The 22,857-nt window shown below is 45.4% G+C and overlaps 3 annotated features.

The window, feature by feature from the left end:
• Nucleotides 8,775–9,340: an enhancer, noted in NCBI's record as "H3K4me1 hESC enhancer chr15:32269716-32270281 (GRCh37/hg19 assembly coordinates)". NCBI's record gives its function as "activates a minimal SCP1, AML or CMV promoter by ChIP-STARR-seq in naive H9 embryonic stem cells {active_cell/tissue: H9 hESC(naive)}" and the evidence as "EXISTENCE:reporter gene assay evidence [ECO:0000049][PMID:30033119]".
• Nucleotides 9,341–9,907: an enhancer, noted in NCBI's record as "H3K4me1 hESC enhancer chr15:32269149-32269715 (GRCh37/hg19 assembly coordinates)". NCBI's record gives its function as "activates a minimal SCP1, AML or CMV promoter by ChIP-STARR-seq in naive H9 embryonic stem cells {active_cell/tissue: H9 hESC(naive)}" and the evidence as "EXISTENCE:reporter gene assay evidence [ECO:0000049][PMID:30033119]".
• Nucleotides 10,473–11,155: an enhancer, noted in NCBI's record as "H3K27ac-H3K4me1 hESC enhancer chr15:32267901-32268583 (GRCh37/hg19 assembly coordinates)". NCBI's record gives its function as "activates a minimal SCP1, AML or CMV promoter by ChIP-STARR-seq in primed H9 embryonic stem cells {active_cell/tissue: H9 hESC(primed)}" and the evidence as "EXISTENCE:reporter gene assay evidence [ECO:0000049][PMID:30033119]".

Genomic DNA, 22,857 nt, shown 5'->3' with positions numbered 1-22,857 from the left:
AGTGTGTCGTGGTTTGCCTGCAGGGTTAGTGTGAGGACTGAGCAGATAGTACCGCACTAGCACATAGGACGTGCCTGGTGACTGTGAGAGTTCCACTGGGAAGGCGCAGTGGAGGTAAGTGGATTGAACTGTTGCAAGTTAAAAAGAATTCTGAAATCACAGAGGGGAAGAGGATACACACACACACACACACACGTGTGTGTGTGTGTGTGTATCTTTCATCTTATATGATAACCTAAAATAAAATCACATCCAAGGGATTGAAAAAGAAATCATCTATCCACCAATAAGGTAAATGAAATGAAGTGCGGAGCTGAGCACAGATGGAAAGAGAAAGCAAAGGTCTCATTACACATGTTATAATCCTGGGCTCCAGGGAAGTCTGTTAGCACCTCAACCCAGAGATCTAAAAATAAGCCGCTTAGCTGGAAAAATATGAATAAATTCTGTAGTTTTTATAATAATATTGTATCATTGTTTGTTTCCTGGTTTTGATCATCGCACTGTAGATGCTCACAATTAGGGGAAGCTGGGTGAAGGATTTACTGGAATTCTCTGTACTATTTTGAAATTTTCCCATAAGTCTAGTTATTCTAAAATAAAACTTTTTAAATGAGCACACCTTGCTTCTCCCCAAACCTCCATCAACTGGCCTGTCTCATTAAAAGGTGTCATTCTTCTCCCAGCTTTCAAACGGGAGACCTCAGATGCATCCCCACCTCCGTCTTTCCTTCCTTCCCTCCCCCGCTTCCTGTCTGTTCTGCCCTAGAAACATCCATCATACCTGTCCCTCCTCTCCTGCACAGCTGGGCTCGGACTCAGCCTGGCATCTTCTCTACAAGGTTCCTGACACTCCTGCAAAGACAGCAGCCTGTGCCCTCTCTCCCCGCACTGTGGCCAGAGTCTTTGTTCTAAAAAAGGAACCACATTTTTTTTTCTTTTTTTGCCACTTCTGTCTTCAACGACTGCTTCCCGTGAGGCTCCCCTTGAAGGCCCCAGGCCTGTCAAGTCTCATGTCCAGACACTCCCCAATCAAGTCACAGCAGTCATGGCCATCTGCCCCCTCTGTCCCAGGCCCCAACTGGTTTGCCCCAAGCTTCAGTCAAAGGCTGCCTCCTGCCTCCAGCATGTCTCAAGCCTATCCACTTCCTGGAAGTATGCATTGCTCTCTAGTCTGTGTTCTCACAATGCCAGATGCCTCCTTTATTGGAGTGATGCTGCGAGATTGCCACCATCCTGATGCCTGTGCCTCCTTCAGCTTTAGATCCTGAGGACACAGCTCGGTTCCCAGTGTATAATAGATTCACAAAGGGGTGTTGTTGCATTGAACATGTGCCAGTGCTTCATTTATGCCTTGTTTAATCATATCAAAAAAGCCATGGAACTTCAGATGAGCCAGAAATAAGCCATTTTCCACCCTATGAAGCGATGCAGCTCACTACCCCCATCCCTCCACTATTCAACAGAAAATGGCCAACAATATCAAACTGTAATCTACTTAAATGTTCTTCTCTTCTGAAAAGGATTCCATTCAGTAGAACTTCAGGTTGTCCTCAGCTTCCTTAACGAAATTGGAATTAATTCAACTCACGTTGGCAGACTGGATGGAATGTGCATATCGGTACAACCCCAATCACGCTGTTCAACAGCCCATGCAGTATTCATCTAGGCAGACAGGGAGTGGGGAAGTGCACCCTAAGCAAAGATGCAGAGGGGCCTGTGGGAATCTGCATCTGCAAGAGGTGCAGGGGAAGTTTGATGCAGTAGAATTCAGGAGGCTGGAGTCTCAGTCCTGACTCTATTTGGCTCATTACACCTTCACCTCAGCTGGACTTCTAGTCTCTCTTGCCTCCTGGGTGAAGGCAGGAGTGTGAGCTTGAGGACCTACCTCCAGCCCTCGACAATCCTCTGATCTGAATTTCATCCTTTACAATGTGTGACAGCTAATGTTATGTGTTAACTTGACCGGGTGAGGGAATGCCCAGACAACTGGTAAACCATCATTTCTGGGTATGTCTGTGAGGGTGTTTCCAGGATAGATTATTGTTTGAACTGGTGAACTAAGTCAAGAAGAAGGCCCTCTCCAATGTGGGTGGGCATCATCTAATCCACTGAGAGCCTGCATGTAACAAAAAGGTGGAGGAGAAAATTTGCCCTCTCTGCTTAAGCTAAGACTCCATCTTCTCCTGTCCTTGGACATCTGCTCTCCTGGTTCTCAGGCCCTTGGACTCAGACTGAATTGCAGCACTAGCTTCCTTGTTCTCCAGATTGCAGACAACAGATTGTGGGACTTCTTGGCCTCCATAACCACGTGAGCCAGTTTCTATAATGAATCGCCTCTTGTGTGTATACACCTGCATTATTCCATTTGCATTGCTATAAACACCTGAGGCTGGGTAATGTATAAAGAAAAGTGGTTTATTTGGCTCATGGTTCTGCAGCCTGCACAGGAAGCATGGCGCCAGCATCTGCATCTGATAGGAACCTCAAGCTGCTTCCACTCATAGCAGATGGCGAAGAGGAGTCCGTGTGTGCAGAGATCACAAGACAGGAGGCAAGAGAGAGGGGAGCGAGATGCTAGGCTCTTTGTAGCAACCGGTTCTTGTGGGAAATAATAGAGCAAGGACTCATTACCACAAGGACAGCACCAAGCCATTCATAAGAGATCCACTGCCATGACCCAAACACCTTCCATTAGGCCACACCTCCAACACACTAGGGAGCAAATTTCAACATGAGGTTTGGAGGGGTCAGATATCCAAACTACAGCAACATTCTGTTTGTTCGATTTCCCTGTAGAATCCTAACTGACACACTATTAGGAGATAATCATAAAAACAAGGACACACTTGTCTCCAGCTTCCCGTTCTTCCTCTCAGCCCTGCTGAAGCACGCACACAGCACTCCCTCCCATGTGTGCACACATTTGCATATACACACAGAGCTTTTTTTTTTTTTTTTGAGATGGAGTCTCGCTCTGTCGCCCAGGCTGGAGTGCAGTGGCATGATCTCAGCTCACTGCAAGCCCTGCCTCCCGGGTTCATGCCATTCTCCTGCCTCAGCCTCCCAAGTAGCTGGGATTATAGGCACCCACCACCTGGCCTGGCTAATTTTTTTTGTATTTTTAGTAGAGATGGGGGTTTCACCATGTTAGCCAGGATGGTCTTGATCTCCTGACCTCGTGATCTGCCCGCCTCGGCCTCCGAAAGTGCTGGGATTACAGGCATGAGCCACCGCGCTCGGCCTATACACACAGAGCTTTTTAATCAAGCAGCTTTGCTGGGTTCCTTAGCTATTATATTAGGTTATGCATAAAGTGTCTTGAACTCCTCTTTTTTAGGCACCTTCCCCAAGGAGGAGTTGTTTTCCATGATGATTCATAGGGCCAGGGTCACACGACTTCGGGGATCTGCTCTGGCCAATCCTTACCCTGCATCAGGTCGACAGAGCACTCCACAAGAAGGAGAACAAATATGGGTGTGGGAGGCCTTGGTATAGCTGCTCCTTAGTCACAGCTTCAGAACTGTTCGAGAGGCTACAGGGAAGCTTGTGCCAGTGGGAAGCGTGCACCTATCTCCTAGGCTCACGCCAACAGCATCATGGCTGTAGCTTGGATGTATCAGGAGCAGTGTCTCCTGGCCAGCACAGCGGCTCACGCCTGTAATCCTAGCACTTTGGGAGGCCAAGGCGGGTGGATCACCTGAGCTCAGGAGTTCGAGACCAGCCTGGCCAACATGGCGAAACCCCATCTCTACTAAAAATACAAAAATTAGCCGGGCGTGGTGGTGCAAGCCTGTAATCCCAGCTACTTGGGAGGCTGAGGAAGGAGAATTGCTTGAACCCAGGAGGTGGAGGTTGCAGTGAGCCAAAATCGTGCCACTGTGCCACTGCACTCCAGCCTGAGTGACAGGAGCAGGACTCCATCTCAAAAAAAAAAAAAAAAAGGAGTGTTTCCTATAAAAAGGAAGAAGCCATAAGCCTAAGGAAAGAGCATAGAGCCTACAGAAAAGCAAACTGGAGCCTGGAGTGCTCAGGCCACTGGAGCGGGATCCTCTGCTCTTGGACAGAGATATTTATGAGGTCTCTGGGAACAGGTCTTGGGAAACAACCTCAATGTCTTCTGCTTCATTTTTCTATAACTCCATGCTCCCCTGAGACCTTCTCATTTCCAGTTGCTGTACTGTCAGAGAATTACCTCTTTCGGCAGACATGGCCATAGTTCCCCGGGAGGAAAGGCTGTGCGTAGGCCCTCCAGTGAGCATCACACACGGCCTGGTGCAGTGCAGAGCTCCATCTGGGTGTCTAGCATCAGATGGGCAGAACTGACAGCCTGTTTGCCTGTCCTGGGCACTGGTGTGGGGGCACCATCCACCATGAGTACTCTGTGGTGGTGTTTGTGGTTGATTCACACACCTGGATCTGCAATCTCCTAAGTGAAATCTTGCCAATATTTTCTGCTTATTGTAAATTGGCTGAATTTTATGCCCCTGGATCCTGAACCATCCATAAACATGCACTAGAGAGGAAAGGTCTCCAGGAAGAAGGCATATCTGGAAAGCTCCCTCCTTTTCATGGGCTGCTTACCTGAGATTCTCACAGCATCCAATTTCATCTCTGACATGCTGATTGGTCACCCTTTAAAGACCTTTCTGAGCAGACAGCTAGAAAAATGCCTGATGGCACACTTAGACTGACTTCATTCAATTTCTTGCCTTTTCTCAGCTAATCTTCAACTCGTAATTTCTTAATGGCTTTTCCAGGCACTGTTCTGGATCACTAAAAGACATAGCCAGCCAAGATCCTCTGCATGGGGCTCCTGTTGGGATTTTGTCAGCATTGCTTTCTTAATTATGAACCAGTGTAAGGGTCTCTGGATTTCCAGCATTTCTTTAAGGTGAGCATTCTCTACCCAGGAATTGGGTTTGGTAGAGACCCCAGGGTATAGGCATAGAGGAAACTTTGGATGTCCAGTGCTGTAGAGCCCAGAGCCTTCCTGCCCCGTCCGCAAGGCGCTGGGCTGTCTCTGTTCCCTTCCCCATCATAACCTGCACAGCATAGTTTGGAAGGGACCTACTCAACCAACACACAGCTAGGCTTTCAAATATACGGCCCTCCACTGATCTGTACTGTTTACATCCACTGGCACCTGTCTCCCCTTGACTTTTCCTGTGGCCTTGGTGCTAAGGAAATGCTTCCCAAGTACATTCATTAATGTCATACTATGAAATTGCATAAGTGGTTTATCATCCTAATTGCCCATACTGCATTATTTCCAAGTTAATGAGGTTATGAGCCTGCAGCAGGCGTACTATATTCTAATAATAGACTTTAGGACATGCCGTTAAAAAGTCATTACTATTATTATTGTTATTTAATTGGGAGAAGGTCCTCTCGCCCCCTCACCTATAGGCAAAAGATGTCTTAAATAAAAAGACACGTGAGCAGATATATGATTCCAAGGTCAACCCTGGACCAGAAAGACATCTGAGCTCTACACTGCTCTCTGCCCCTGCACACTGGGAGTCCCTCTTCCTTTCCCTCCCTCTCCTTGATCAATAAGGAAACACAGTATTCCCATCTGCTCTCCACCCCTGTTTGATGCCTGCCTTATCTTCCACCAGGACAAGTTCTATGGATCCAAATCTATTGCACCCATTGGACCCACCACAGTAATTTCTTCAGGAGTTACCTCTACGATCTTTCCCCAGTTGAACACACATTGGTGTGAGTAAGAACAAAAAAATCAATTTTGTTTGCAAGTGCTTAAACCCTTCCATAATCCAAACTCTACCAGTCCTTCAGAATCTGTCTCCAGTTCACATTGTCCAATCTCTAACCCTCATTCCCCAAATCACCAGGGTTATTACAATTAAATTAAAGCTTAGTCTGGTCTCTGAGCACACCAGGCTGTTCCCATCCCCGTACATTGTCATGTTTCTACTGTGGCATAGAAGGCAAAATCTTCCTTGTCCGTCTGTGGCTCCCTAAACCATTCCAAGATACAAAACAAGCTCATTCCATCTGTGAGTATTCCAGGGGAGCAAGATACTCTTTCTACATCCATGATCCATTGAATGATCATAGCAACAGCATAAGGAAACCAAAACCAGATGACTCAGGAAGTAATTAGTGTGTGCCAAGGACAAAGCAGTAAGATGAAAGGTTGTAATTAAGCCCATCTAAGAATTACTAAGAAGTTTACTTCTCATTATTAAGAGTTTACTTAATTTTGCAATACTCAATTTATATGTAAAGCAAGTAAAGTTGAGGATAGCATGAGATGACACAGATCAGAGAATAGAAAAGCAAATCAATCATCTCTGTACAAAAACAGACTGAGAATGATCTATGCAGAAATCCATCCCATCCACACAAAGCAACAATCTAAGCAAGATCAAATGCTGGAGGCCTTTTTCCTTCATTGGTGCAGATGGTCGCTACAGGTCACAAAGAAGGATCCCTGTCCTCAAATGTGCAGAGTATTAGTGAAAAACAAAGTGAAGGGGCTTTTCAGAACACACAGACTCTCAGCACAAATAACACATGGAAGGAACGCAGGTCTCGTGTGCACACTCTCAGTGCAAGTGACAAAAAAATGGCCCCTAACTTCACCCATATAGACACTCAATACCAAACATCAAAAGATGACACAATGTCCAAACATTTGCAAACTCTAAGAGAAGATTACAACTGAAGACCCTGTCATCATGGGAGCACGCTGTCAGTACAGATCACACACAAAAGGCACTATTTTCCCAGGCGCACACCCTTAGTACAGGAAAAAAAAACACCAAAGGCACCTCTCCTCCCAGGTGCATACTCTCATTACAGAAAACAAATAAACAAACAAACAAAAAACACTGAAGGCCCCTGTGCTCCCAGGTACAGACCCTCAGTACAGTTCACACACTGAAAGTCCCTGTCCTCTGTCCTCCCAGGTGCAGACCCTCAGTACGGATCACACACTGAAGGAACCTGTCTTCCCAGGTGCAGACCCTCAATACAGATCACACACTGAAGGGCCCTGTCCTCCCAGGTGCAGACCCTCAGTACGGATCACACACTGAAGGAACCTGTCTTCCCAGGTGCAGACCCTCAATACAGATCACACACTGAAGGGCCCTGTCCTCCCAGGTGCAGACCCTTAGTACGGATCACACACTGAAGGAACCTGTCTTCCCAGGTGCAGACTCTCAGTACAGATCACACACTGAAGGCCCCTGTGCTCCCAGGTGCAGACCCTCAGTACAGATCATACACTGAAGGTCCCTGTCCTCTCAATGCAGACCTTCAGTACAGATCACACACTGAAGGCCCCTGTCCTCTGAGGTACAGACCCTCAGTACCGATCACATAGAGAAGGCTTCTGTCCACCCAGGTGCAGACTCTCAGTAGGGATCACACACTGAAAGCCCCTGTCCTCTCAGGTGCAGACCCTCAGTACAGATCACACACTGAAGGCCCCTGTCCTCCCGGGTGCAGACTCTTTGTGCCGATTGTCCCCGGGACAGGAATCCTGGCTGCAGTGCCCTTGTCGTATCCTGGCCACCTAACTTTCACTCTACACCAGTCTTCATTTGCTTGTCTATTATTATTGTCTCCTAGAAATCTTCACATCCCATACAGCATCTCATGCTTTTATTTCACCCTGACTTCTTTCAACATTAACTTTCCATCAATTTTTTAAATCAAATTCTCTATTGTTCATCCTTAAGGCATAGAACACCTCTCCAGGAATGCCTAGGGAGTGTGGCCTGGCGTTCTCTCTCAGTTGCTGTGACTGCTGTGGATTTCGTTGTGCTCCATAAAATCCTTAAATGCAGAAAATGTGGGTGCTGATTCTCAGAAAGTAACAATACATTTGATTTCACCAACTTGCCCACAGCAGTCCGATACTGGGGTGCGATCCTCTCTCTTCCGCCTCTAGCAAGGGATTTTACAGCCACCTCAAAACCAAGGGCACTAATAGGACAGCAGATTCTTCTCAGCTGGGCTCTCCAATCTGCTGAGATTCCAGGAGGATCTCCCTTGTGGGATAAGAGGGATTCAAGGACCCCCAGGCCTGTGACTCAGCCTCACAGGATGCATGAAGTCTCAGGTGTGGACCACCCAACTGTCCCCCTCACCCACCATGGGCTCTGAATCATGAGAAATGGGAAGAAAATCATGTAATAGTACCGGAAAGGAGAACAGCATCAGTATAACAGAAATTGGAAAGAGGTTTGAAACACACAAAGGAGACAGGATGGGACAGAAGCTCAGCCTCCAGGAACGCAGCAGCACGAAAGAACCGTGGGGAGAGGGTGGTGGAAGGGCATCTTTGCGGGTCTCAGCTCCCAGGGAACAGCACTCGCGTCGGGACTGCATTCAGACCAGAACTGTCCTGGAACCTGCGGGCGGTGGCATGTCTGACTCACTTCCTTTAATCCAGGGAGGTCCTGCCCCATACCCTGTGTCCCCAGGACAAGGAGAACTAAAAAGTTAGCAAGAATAGAAGCCTCAGACCATCAGGGGGAAACAAATAAAAGCATATTTAAAACCTTAAAAAATTACAGCATCCAATAGCCCTGGGTAAGTGATTTGCTCTCTATTAATCAGAAAGCACAAGGTTTTCTAAGTGGGTTTTACGCGGAGATTGTATTTTTAAAAATTACTCACATTTTAAAAATTCCCTGCTTTTTATGAAATCTGCTCCTTTCTGTCTGTGTAGAGGTTGGGGTTATCTGCAGCTCCTTGTCTCACAGGAGGGATCCGAGGGCGTCCTCAGGCAAGGGTCCCTTGTCCAGCAATTGAAGGGGTGAGGGAGGATCGGGGTGTGGACAGAGGGTGGCTCTGCCCCCTGGTGGCTGCTTGGGGAGACCGCCGCGGCCAGATGCCAGGCTGGAGGAGGCGCCAGCCCCAGCCCTGGAGGTGGTAGGAGATGAGCTCTCAGGGCACTTCCCATCCTGGTGCGGGGCTCACGGCAGAGTCAGGACTGGCTGGGCCTGCAGAGCCCCACGCACAGGGCCTGGTGAGCTCCCCAGCGAGGCCTGCCTGAGCCCACCTCCGCAAAGGAGGGAAAGCTCCAGCCAGGGCTGGGGATGAGCTGAATGAAGGACAGGAGTCCCCACCTGCTCAGGGGTATCCCCAGTAGAGAGGAGGGACTCCCTTAAGGGCCTCATCCTGTGGGAACTCCCCAAATAAATGGAGAGTGCCTGGGGTGGAAGCTGATCCCTGGAACAGGCTAAACATGGGGAGCTGCCAGGCAGGAGTGTCCCCAGGAAGGAAGGCAAACTGCGGTGGAAGTGAGGGCAGAGGCCACGATGGGATCCTCAGCTCTGCTCGAGCAGGTGGCGAGGACGGCCACACAGGGTGTCCTCCCCAACAACGAGGCAGTGCCAGGCGCACAGGTGGGTGTTGGGACTCAGCACAGTGGGGCAGCAGACACATGTGCTGGACACACAGCCCAGGACACACAGAAGTACTGGGTACACAACACAGGGCGCACAGCACAGGACACACAGCACAAGACACACAGCACACGGCACACCACACAGGACACAGCACAGGACACACACTACAGGGCACACAGTGCACGGCACACCACACAGGACACAGCACAGGCCACACAGCATAGGACACACAGCACAAGACACACAGAGCACACACACAGGGCTAACAACAGAGCACACAGCACAGGACACAACACAGGCCCACACAGTGGGCACAAAATTCTGGGCACACACTGTCAGCCAAACAATTCGAGGTACACGTGCCAGTCACGCAGCACCAGGCACACAGGAGTGGGCACGCTTGCCAAGCATACACAGCCACACAAACCATGCTGGGTCACAACACCAGACACAGAAGGAAAGACACACTCTCCAGCCACAGACACTGAAGCTGGGGACACACTGGACACACAACTCTGGGCATACAAGGTCAGGCATACCATGACCGACAAGCTGGCACACCCACTGGGAATACACACTGGCACACACTGGGGACAACACCAGACGCTGCAGGAACACAACATCGGGCACACACCAGGCACAGATGCTACACACACTCTAGGGACACAGCATCACATACACAATGCACACACGGCAAGAACCCATGCTTGTAACACATGTTGAACACACACACCAAACGCAATGCTGAGCTTCACTGTAGGGCACAAAACACTGGGACACACCATGCTGGGCACAGAAGCCAGGGTGCAATGCCAGGCACACACAAGTCCAGGCACTAATGCCAGCACACACTGTGGGAACACAACACTATGCACAAAACCTCAGACAGATGATGCCAAACACATACCACACACACACCAGCAGGCACTCCGGGCCAGGCACTCCAGGAGCACCACACTGAGCTCACAACGCTGGGTCACATACCAGCCATGTACACACCAGCCATGTAATTCCACCCACACAACACCAGGCATGCAGTGCAGAAACAGAACTCTGGAACCACAGGGCCAGGAAAACAATGCAGGCGCCCCATGCTGGACACACACAGTAAGTATACAACAATGAGCATGCAATGCCAGACACACAAAGCCAGACACACCATAGTAGGCGCAGCCTCTGGGACACCATGCAGGGCACACAGTGCTGGGCAAACATGCCAGGCACAAAATGCCAGGGAGAAAGCACTAAGCCCGTATGCCAGGCACACTCTGGGCCCACCAAGCTGGATGCACAAACCTGAGCACACAGGGCCGGACACACAACGCAGGCACCCAGGCCGGGCAGACACTCTGGGATCTCAATACTGGGCACACAGGACCAGGTACACAACACCAGGCATGCAATACTGGGCATGCCCACTAGGCACAAACAAGCAGGAACACAGCGCCAGGTACACACAGTACCTGCACACACAGTTGGCAAACAACACAGGGCATACGCTCCAGGATTACACTGCAAGGCTCACAGACGGGAGCAAACAAACCCGGCATACAATGCGGAGTATGCACAGCCAGGTGCCACACTAGGCATGCAGGGCCAGGCACATGGCAAGAACACAGGCTGGACACAGATGCTGGCTACGCGACACTGGGCAAACAAAGTCAGACACACCATGCCTGGTGCATAACACCATGCACATAACTCAATACTGGACACACAGTGACAGGCACACAACACTGGGCGCACAAAGGAAGTATGCATGCTAGGCACTCAGCAGGAACACAGGACACTAGAAGGCACACCCAGTCAGCACATACAGTTGGCTTTGAGCAACGAAGTGTGCGCAGACGCAGTGTCACCCACCAGCTTAGGGCTGACCGTGGCCAGCCGTGCTCCAGATGGCGGCCGCCCCGCGGCGCAGATCTTGGATGAAGGCGACATGGAGCGGGGCTGTCGCCAGCCACTGGGGCTCAGGGGGCTCAGGGGCACTTGCGGCAGCCACACAGCCTGAGCGCTGCTGGCTGTAACTCTGTGGGATGCACGAGGTTTGCTTCCATCAGTGCCCTCTCTGATGCACATGTGAATCGCTCTGAGTCTCTTACGATAACAAAAAATTCCGTAGGGTGTGGCACGTGTAAACCCGACTCGTATTTCTTGCTAGAGTATCTTTGGCAAGGTTTCCTGGGTTACTGGGTCAGAAGTCAAAGGCAGGTGACTTTGCAATTGCCAATTATCTCCGCAGGGCTACACCAGAGTGGGTCAGGGGAAGAATCAGAGATGGGTCGTAGGATTGTATCGTCATTAGGTGCATGTGCCCAGAAAGCAGGAAACAAATCTCCCAAAAAAGCTCTCTCAGCCTGCTCTTCAAAAACCCGGCCCCTTCCCACCTCTTCCTCTGCCGGAGGAATCTTTAAGATTTGCAATTTTAACCTTTAGCCGTTAGGTGGCGCCACAAAGTAAGGTATCCATGGGCCGAGGACGCTCAGCGACCCCTTCCTCCCCTGTGAGATTTCTTCTCTTGTTGAAGCTGCAAAGGAAAATCGCAGTTCCCAGATCTGGCAAGTGTAACAACATCTTCAGCAGCTCTGAATGGTTTTTATACAATTCTTTTCTTTACCTAATAGAAGGATCAATAACTGTAGACATATGCAGATCTTGATGGTTTGACCTCAGGCCAAAGCAACCTTGCTCCCCACCCCCATCACTTTCCTGTAAGACAGAAAGAGTGGTTGGTGAATGCTTGTCAGGTGCATGGCCCAGTGGGTGAAGCTGTTGAACAGGTCCCTTGCCAGTGCCCCCAGCAGCGGCTCTTAACAGCCATGCTAATGGCCGTCTCCTCTCCAAGCACCCAGGCTTGCAGTGGTCTGGGGCAGGCCTTGGGCCGCTCCCTCCCCGGGCATTACAGCCCTATCTCTGTGCCTTCCCTGAGCCCCTGCAATTCCACCAGAGGCCTGATGACTCTCTGGGGGACCTCTTCAAATAACTTCAGTCATTCATGTGGAGCAAGAGAGCCAGACTCCTGGCAAGAAAAAGCCAGACAGGGCCTGGGCTTCAGAAGATGCCTCACAGACCCTGGCAATCGGCCTGACTTCCAGAGGCCCCTCCCTCCCTGCAGGTCCAGGACACACATCACTTTACAGGAGAGGTTTCAGTCTGCAAGGCCAGCCCAAGTCTCCCAGAGTGGATGGTCCTCCCACCTCACCCTCTCTCTCAGACCATAGGGGTCGCTGGGCCCATGCTCTGTTGCAGGCACCAAGCCTGCCCTCCAGGCTAGGGGCTCAGCATTTCTAGAATTCTTGGGGTGTGAAGGACATTCATCTGAAAAGCTTCACTGGAGGATTGCAGACTTCAGGCTCCTAAGAAATTGCCTGGTGACTCTTGGTCTGCCTTTGCCACCACCCCTCCCAACGGCATAGGCAGCACTGAGATAGGCCACTCTACAAGTGGAAGGAGCCCAGGCCGGAAAACTGGGCCACCAGAATTCAGCCTACGAACCTCAGCTTCATCCTCTGTGAAACAAAGACGGCAATTTCCCAAGCAGAGAGAAAGGTCCTGGCACTAAGCAGGTGCTGAACAAAGACACGTAGCTGTTCACTCTACCACGCCCTAGCAGGTGGGTCCCAAGCAGAGGATGCACCAGAACAGAACAAAGCCATTCAGGGAAGCAACTGACTCGCTCATTCATTCTTTCTGTGAGAGCTTATGCGATCCACTCTCTTTCCGATGGACATAGGAAGCCCCAGGCAAAGGCTGTGCACAGCCCCTTCCTTCTCTTGCTGCTTGGGGACATCTGGAAGGCTGACAAAACACACAGAACCACCTCCTGCTCTGACCAACTAACAACACTACACTTTCTGTCCAGGTAGAAAAGTGGATGAAATATGCTAAACCATTATTTACAGACTTTGAGCCACAGACAGTGCGGGAGTGTGATCGCTGAAAACAAGCAGAACTTCTGGGACCCAGTGCAGGGAGGGGCTCCATGCAGCGCATGGAGGTGGCTGGAGCTGAAGAGACAGAAACCGGACAGATTGCTGGAGAAGACAGAGCTGCACGCTGAGCCCATGCCTCTTGCATGGCTTGAGTGAACAAAACCTGCTCTGCGTGGTGTGGGGGGCTGTTATATTCATGAAGGCTGCAACCAAGACCCAGGGAGGCCCTGAACTGCATCCAGCCAGGGCTAGGTCACGTCGTTAACACCTTTAATCAGAGACCGTCCTGATTCGCTGTAGTCCTGATTGGCTTTTATACTCTCCACCTCCAGCCAGGTCTTCTTTGCAGATAGATTGTAGAAGAGCATGGGTCTCTGAGAGCCCATCATCGTCTCACTTGATCTGCTTCTGTAAAGCATTTTAAATGTATGCTGTGGTCTGAATGTTTCTCATGAATGGGATTACTGCCCTTATATAAGGGGCCCCAGGGAGTCAGCAACCTCCTCCAGTATGTGAGGACACAGGGAGAAGGTGCCATCAATGAAACAGTAAGTGGGTCCTCACCAGACACCAGATGTGTCAGTGCCTCGATCTTGGACTTCTCAGCCTCCAGAACTGTGAGGAATACATTTCTGTTAAGTCTCCCAGTCTATGGTATTTTGGTTATAGAAACCCAAACAGACTAAGACGCTTTGCAAAATAATGTTTATTTTGAGCACCTACTATGTCCCAGATACTGCGACTATTATATAACTTAATTTAAACTTTTATAACAGCTCTATTATATACATAGCACCATCTCTTTTTACCTTTTTTAAAAATTGTGCAACACATGAATACATTTGTTGGAAAAAAAAAACAAAACAGAAGTGTATTGACTGCAAAGCCAACGTCTCCTCACCCGGCCTCCACTTCCAGTCCCACTCGTGTGTCTGAGCATATCCATTTAAGAGGGGTGTGATTCTGGACAATTCTATATATTCAATCATTTGTCTGTCTTGAGGAAGTCCTGCTTGTTTCCTAATGCAGAAGGAGTTATTTATCATTCCTGGCAATGTGGCATAGAATTTCCAGTGCAGCTGGGGAGTCCAGCTGCCCCCACCCAAGCCCACCTCTTCCTGGAGTTGGGTAACTTGACCTTGAGGCTCAACATCGCTGGAACTCAGCGTCATCACCTGTCAAACAGGGTCAAAGGAGTGTCTGCCTCCAGGGCTGCTGAGTGGCCAGCAGGCGGTGGTGAGGGTGAGGGTGCAGACGGTGAGCACTTTGAAGCTGCACGGATGCCATGAGCAATGCCCAGCTCCCAGCCTCCTCCGTCTGCCACAGAAAATGTGTCTGCCCATGCCTAGGCTGTCCCCAGACCCCCACCCTATCATTGAATGAGGGATGAAGGTTCTCCATGTTGTCTCTCTGTTCCAACACTGTTTATGTACTATGGGTATCACCTCCTTCAAGAAACCAGGTTGTTGTCCAGGTCTAGGACCTGCTGGGGGAGGTGGGGAGCTCTGGAGGGTAAGCAACAGCACAGCAGGGTGGTCACCATCCCAGGCTACGGAGCCAGACCACCTGGACTCTATTTCTTACTTGGAGCCAAACAACCAGGTTCAAGTCCCTACCTGTTCACTTAAGAGCTGAGTAAATTCCGGAGGCTACCTCTTGTCTCCTTGCCACACCAAAACCCCCATTAGTAAAATCCAGACCATGGTAGCTTTCACCTCAATAGGTGATTACAAGGGTCATATTTTTATTTTGTCTACTGTTTATCTTTATTTTATATCAAATTGTCTAAGTTCCCTCTTTTTCTAGATTGCTGAGAGTTTTTGTCATGAATGTTAGTTGTCAAATTTTTTTCTGCATCATTTGATATAAACTTGTAATTTTTTTCCTTGTTAGCCTGTTAATATGGCACATTATATTGATTGATTTTAATGATTGAATCAGCCTTGCACCCCTGACACAAACTCCACTGCTTTCTGTACATTGATGGATTTGATTGCTAATATTTTATGAGGACATTTGTGTTTATACTTTTTTTTTTTTTTTTTTGATATGGAGTCTTGCTCTGTCACCCAGGCTGGAGTACAGTGGCGCGATCTCGGCTCACTGCAAGCTCCGCCTCCCGGGTTCACGCCATTCTCCTGCCTCAGCCTCCCGAGTAGCTGGGACTACAGTTGCCCGCCACCATGCCCAGCTACTTTTTTGTATTTTTAGCAGAGACGGGGTTTCACCGAGTTAGCCAGGATGGTCTCGATCTCCTGACCTCGTGATCCGCCCATCTCGGCCTCCCAAAGTGCTGGGATTACAAACATGAGCCACCGCGCCCGGCCTGTGTTTATACTCTTGAGAGATATTGATCTGTATTTTTTTCTCTTTTTGTACTATCATTGTCTAGATTTGGTATCAGGTAATACTGATCTTGTAAAATAAGTTGGGAAGTGCTTCCTCCTCTTCTAATTTATGGAAGATACTTTTTAGAGTTAATGTTAATTCGGAAATTTCACAGTAAAATCATCTGGTTCTAAAGATTTATTTTTTGGGGGGGGGTTAAAATTACAAATTAAATTTTCTTAATAATAGGATTATTCAAATTCTCTCTTTCATGTTTACTGAATTATAGTAATTGTGTTTTTTGAGAAATTGGTCCATTTAAACTAAATTGTCAAGTTTATGTGTGTAGGGTTGTTCACAATATTCCCTTATTATCCTTAAGCCATCTGCATGGTCTATATTGATATCCCGTTTCATTCTTGATATTGGTAATTTATGCCTTTTTTCTCTCTTTTAAAAAATTTTTAGTAAAAGCATTTTTGTGATGGCTGCCTTAGGATCCTTGTTGGAAAATCCTAACATCGGTGCTACTTCTTTATTGGTGTCCATTGATCACTTTTACTCATTCCATTTGAGATTTTGCTAGTTCTTGGTATGATGAGGGATTGTCAATGATATCTGCACATCTGAGGTATTATGAGACCAAACCTTATTTAAATTTTTTGTTTTAGCAGGCTTCCTCTGAAGGAAGGAATGGGTAGAGAGGGTTTCACCTATTACTGCAAGGTGGGGGTCAAACTTCAGATCCCCGCTTGGGCTCCATTGGCCCCCAAGAGGAGGGGCTTCTCATCACTGCTGGGCAGGGGTAAGAGTTCCATGAAAGGCAGGGAGCGTGGCCACAGCTCCCCACTGGTCCCCACTGGCACGGCCAGAGATGGGGCCTCACTAGCACTGGTCAGCAATGGAAGTCCTGACCTCCCACTTGGCCTTCTCTGACATCACCACAGCGTGGAGGAGCAGTTGCTACAGTTTGGCAAGGGTGATAGTCTAAGCTCGCCAGGTGGCCTTTGCTACTGGGGTGGGGCTGGGGCAGTGGTTATTTCCATGGAGTTTGGCTGAAGAGGAGTGTGGTTATTGTCTAAAAATGTTCTGTCTTGCTTGGCTGCCCCTTTTCTTGTTCTGTGGCTGCAGAAAGCAGGGTTTTTTTGTGTTTGTTTGTTTGTTTGTTTTCTGGGGGATAAGGGAGTCTGTATTTTCCTATTGGCATTTTCAGGTTTCTGCAGCACTCAGTGCGAGATATATAAGGCACTAAGAAGAGCAAAGAAACGCACTATCATGTCATTCTTCAGGACACAAAGCCCTGACTGATCTGCCCTCCTTTCTCCACCTTTCAGAGTTGTCTTGTTTTGTATATAATGTTAAGGGGCTTTCGCTGCACTAAGTAGGAGGAATAGGGAAACATATGTCTACTCCATCCCATAAATGTTTCTATGTTATATTGTCAATCAGTTCAAGCTATTTTTAAATTTAAAATACTTCCTCTTTGAGTCACAGATTATTTAGAAGCACATTTTGTAGTTTTCAAATGTTTGGAGATTTTCCTGTTATCTTTCTGTTATTGCTTGGTAGCTTGAGTCCATGATGGCCACAGAACCAACTCTGTACGAGTTTTATTATTTTATATCTGCTGTGGTTCATTTAATGGCTCAGAATACAGTCTAAGTTGGTAAACGTTGTGTGAGGGCTTGAAAAACATGCGGATTCTACTGTTGTTGGGTGAATTGTTCTCTAAATGTTTAGATCCTGTCAGCTAATGGTATTGTTCTATAAATTGTTGAGAGAGGAGTGTTGAAGTCTCCCATTAAAATTTTGTTTATTTCTCCTTTCAATTTTCTATCAGTTTTCTATTCACATATGTTGCAGCTCCATTGTTGGGTGCATACATGTTTAGGATTGCTATGATTTCTTCAGGGACTGATCCTTTTACCATTAGGAAATGTTCCTTTCTGTTACTTCACTCTGAAGTCTGTCCTCTAGGATAACATATACACTTCAACTTTACTTTGATTAATGTTTATATGTAATATAGTTTTTCGATCTTTTCTTTCAACCTAACCATATTATTAGATTGAAAGTGAGTTTCTTGTAGCTGGCATATAGTTAGCTCATTTTATAATTCACTCTGTCAATTTCTGTCTTTTAATTGGTGTATTCAGACAACTTATATTTAATGTGATTACATATACATTAGGAAATAAATCTGTCATTTTATTTATTTTATTATTATTATACTTTAAGTTTTAGGGTACATGTGCACAACGTGCAGGTTTGTTTGTTTTCTGTTTGTTTCCTCCGAGTTTTTTGTTTTACTGTTTTCTTCTTTCTGCCTCCTGTGGGTTGTTTGAACGTTTTTTACAATTCTAGTTTGATTTTTCTATAGTGTTTTGAGTGGATTTCTTCGTATAAACTATTAAGTGGTTGCCCTAGGCATTACATTTCAGTGAAGATTTTTATATAGGAAATGAGAGAACTTGTAAATATATTTATGTTTCTCATCAGTCATTATAAATGAGCAAGTTGACATTCAACTTTTACTTGTGCTCCCTCGTACCTCGATTGGCAAATCATCACAGAGAGATGGCCACGTTCCCCATTTGCTGATGAAAATCTCGCCAAGGTGAGACTCAGGTTTTGTAAAGTGGTGTGTTGAGGTAAATACCACCTTGTAAGTCGATGACGAGCAGTTTCCCTTCCCTGGCAACTCCCCAGCCTCACTGGATTCTTTATTTCATGTTTAAATGTGGAGTCCCTCCCTGTATCCTCTAGAGGAAGTGCAAGCACCAGAAGAAAGCTGAACTGTTATTTTCATGTTTAATATACCAAAATAATAGGAATCAAATGATTTCAAGGGGAATTGTTACATTAGTTCACATGGAGCTTGAAAGAAACTAGCACAAAGATGCTGCAATGCTACATCAAGCATCAAATCAGCTCTGATGTGCTAGGTCTGAAAGCAGCAAGCATATTTTGTTGAAATTAGACTAACTGCGCAGCACTTCCAGCCTTGTGCTTTGAAATCATGTTAACGATGATGAGGAGAAAGAAAAACTTGTAAAAACACTGTTTTTCTCAGTGGACAGTAAAAAAAATACCAATACCATGGTTTCCTTGTTCAAATAAATTCTGAATAAATTACAAAGGACCCATATTTTGTGGTTTCAGGAAGCATTTTCAAGGGAGCATTATCTTTGCTGCTTGCACTAGTTTTCCTGAAACAAACAAGAGACTGATGTAGCAAGATGGCAGATAGAGGAGTTCTCAAAGATTAGATTTTAAAGAGTATCATGACTCATCCTGTTGATTTTTTAAAAAATCAAATAAGTGTTTTTCCTTAATGTGTGAGAAAAGGAGTCAGCATCTGTCACTAGTAAAACGCATCCAAAAAAATAGAATGAGTGATTGGCAGAGAAGCAGGGCAAGCCTAAAAGCTTAGAAACACCCCAAATATTATGTCTTTTCTATAAATTACATACCACAAAACAAAAGTCATAAGACATATGAAGAAAAACTAACAGCATAAAATAAAAGCATCAAATGAAGTAAATCGACAATGCGGCAATGCAGTATTATTTAAATGGCAAAAATTAGAAGTACACAAAGATGTTTGTTGCAAGCTATTAGAAGTTGGAGGAAAAAAATCTGTTTATATGTAGTGTAATAGTTAATAATGAGTAAATTAAGCTGTTCTGATTCTATGTATTCTGGTTATGTATGGATGTATAACAAACGTCCCTAAATCTACCAACTTAATACAATAATGGCAGTGTATTTTGCTCAGAATTTGCTATTTGAGTGGGACATGACAGGAACAGCTTATCCCTGCTCTGTGCAACATCAATGGGGGCAGCTCTTCTGTGGCTAGAGGATTCAGCTTGAAAACTTATTTCACTAACATGAAAACCAAGTTCATTTATAGGGCTGGCAAATTGGTGCTGACTCTTTTCTGGGTGCTTAGCCAGGGCTGTACCTGGGAGCTTTGGATCTTCTCCATATGCATTTCCATGGAACTTTTGCACCTCCTCACAGCATGACACCTGAGTTCCAGAGATCAAGGCAGAAGCTTCAGGCAGCATGACTTCTGCCTCATTCTATCGGTTAGGCAAGTCATCAAGTTCAACCCAGATTTAAGGATCAGGGCATTAGGCCTCTCAATGGAAGGATCCACAAATGATTTGTGGCATTCTTTAATCTGTCACATTATGGAATATTATGCAGCTATTGAAAAGATTAAAAAGCAAATGGAAGTATAATACAGTTGATTTAATTCCATTTGTGAAAAAAATAAGGGAGCAGGCTATCCATGTATATTCATATTTAGTTGTTTGAAAATAGAAAATAGTTTGAATCATTACATACAGGAGTGGGAAAGGAAACAAAGGGGAATTATTAGCTTCTTTATGTACTTTTATATTTTGATTTATTACAATTACCTTGTATTACTTTTGTGCATTAAAAAATATATAATTCTTTTTAAAAAACTAAAATGATTCTTTTAAATTACCAAATCAAGCAGAACCAGAAATAGAATTTTTAAATATTCCATTAAAATAGCAACCAAAAAGATATTGATCTTAACAACAACAACAACAACAACAACAACAACGCTTATTAAAGCCTTGAGGGTAAACATTTACCTGTGAGGTTTTGAGATTCCGAAATAAGTGTGTTGAGGTAAATACCACCCTGTAAGTCACTGACGAACACTTCTCTGGCAATTCCCCAGCCTCACTGGGTTCTTTATTTCATGTTTAAATGTGGAGTATCCCTGTATCCTCTAGTGGAAGTGCAAGCACCAGAAGAAAGCTGAACTGTGAATCCAGAACCACCACTGTATTTCTTTGAATCCTGCAAAGAGTTGGCATTTTCTAGGGCATGATGTGTGGTAGGCGGGGAGGTGGGGAAGAGAGCTTTTAATATGCAATTCATACAATTTTTGTACTTGAAAAAATAAGAATACAAAACATTTTAAATAAATTTTTATTGCAGAATAACATACATGCGGAAAGGCATACAAATTCTATTTTACCTCAAATAATGTTCACAAACTGAATATATTCATGTAATCAACACCCATTTATAGAAATAAAACATTACCAACACTTCAGGAGCCCTTCTGGCACCCTCATCCCGTGTCAAACCCATCCTAAAAATGGTATCCACTGCTATAACATCTATCGACATAGATTACTCCTATCTATTTTGAACCTTACATAAATAGAATTATATACATCATACTCTTGCGTCTGGCATTTTGTGACAAACATTAGGCTTGGGAGATTCATCCATGTAGTTGTACACTGAAGTTGTTTATTATTTTTCAGGGATTTAAAGTATTTTATTGTGATTTTGTCAGAACATATTTACTTATCCTACCATTGATAAATATTTGGCTTGTTTCCAGTTTGGGGTTATTATGAATAATGCTGCTATTAGCATTTGTATAAACATCTTTTAGTGCATTTGCATGGGGTATATATACCTACAAATGTTATTACCTTGTCAAGTCTAGTGGACACTGCCAAAGAGTAATATTCCCAAATGCATGTATGAGAGTTTCTGTTGCTCCTTAATCTCATTAACACTGGACCACTTGGGAATGGAGGACGGAATGGTAGCTGCTGGTTTCAGTTTGAATTTCCCTGATGACTATATAACACTGATGACCTTTTCATATGTTTTGAGGGCACTTGGATGAAATTTTTTAAAAATAAAATATTCAAGACAATTGCCTATTTTTTAAATTGGGTTGGTTTTTTTTTTCTGATTAATCTGTAAAAGTGCTTTAGAATTTTTAGGTTCTTCTCAGGTGTGTATTGCAAACATCTTCTCATATGCCGTTTTTTTCTGCCTCATATAGTTTTGTTTTTATGGAATAGAAATTCTTGGTTTTAATAAAGTAAAATTTTAAAGTAGTTTCCTTTGTGGTGTCTTTTTAAAGAAAGATTTGCTCACCGTAGAGTCAGGAATATACTCTGTGCTACTTTAGAAGCCTTATTATCTTACCTTTCACAATTAGGTCTAAGTCCGTTTGAGATTGACTTTTCTGTACAATGTGAGGTGATGGTAAAGATTAATTTTTTCCACATGAATATTAAATGAGTCAGCATTTCATATTCTTTCTCCACTGTTCTATGCCACCTTGGTCTACAATTGATTATAGATGCCTTTCTCCATTGGTTTCTCATCATGATTTCATAAAATAATCAATTGGCCATCAACTAGACTTGAACTGAGACATTGACTTTTTGGATTTCAAACCTGCTGGCTTTCAGATTAGAACTTACGTCATTGGCCCGCCATTGGTTCTCAGGCCTTCAGACTCAAATTGGAGCTATATTATTGGCTCTCCTGGGTCTCCACCTTGTCAACTGCAGATCCGGGGACTTCTCAGCCTCCATAATCATGTGAGTCAATTCCTTACAATACATCGATAGGTAGATAGAGGGAGACATAGATATAGAGATATATGTATACCTACAGATATATTAATATAGAGATATAGATATCTCCTATTGGTTCTGTTTCTCTGGAGATCTACGACTAATAAACCTGAGAAAATCTTTCTTGCCCACAAGAATTGGTTGGGTGTCATTTCTGAGTGAAAGCTGCTCAGAAAGAAGTTAGCATTTTCCATTGTTACCCTAACTGTGGGCAGTAGCCACTCCCTAGACTGCATATCCCTGGCTGCAGTGGTTTTTTCCCTTGTCACTGTTGGACTTCACTGCCATTCAGCATGTGCTTAACAAAGGCTTCCTTTAAAAGGTTACTGGCCAAATGCTATACTCCTTCTTCCATCCCATATTTCTAAAATGATAAAAAAGACAAAAATATGAAGCTATGTGAAAACAGCAATGGTTGCAAGTAGACTATGTAATTCTGATCAATACCCTTAAACATAATTATAAAAGCTAGATAAAATATTTCATAAAGATGTGCTTGGGACTTCCACCTCTGGGAAAGTGGAATCGATGTACTTTTCCCAATTCCTCCGACTAAGTCCAACTAAAATCCCTGGCTCTGAAAGGTGGAAAGCAACAGACATATTAGAAACCCCAGGACCAAAAGAACACATGGCGATATGTTCTCTGGGATTTCTTTCCATTTCACATATCCAAGGCTTAAAGCTAGAGAAGCTGACAACTCACAGACCATGGGTGAAAAGGGGGAAAAAAGAAAAACAAACAAACAAGAAAACAAGCAAACAA

This window comes from Homo sapiens, chromosome 15 (genome assembly GCF_000001405.40).
Source record: "Homo sapiens chromosome 15, GRCh38.p14 Primary Assembly".
Taxonomy (NCBI): Eukaryota; Metazoa; Chordata; class Mammalia; order Primates; family Hominidae; genus Homo; species Homo sapiens.
Note: the sequence above shows the minus strand (reverse complement) of the source record. Positions and strands in the feature narration are given on the sequence as shown.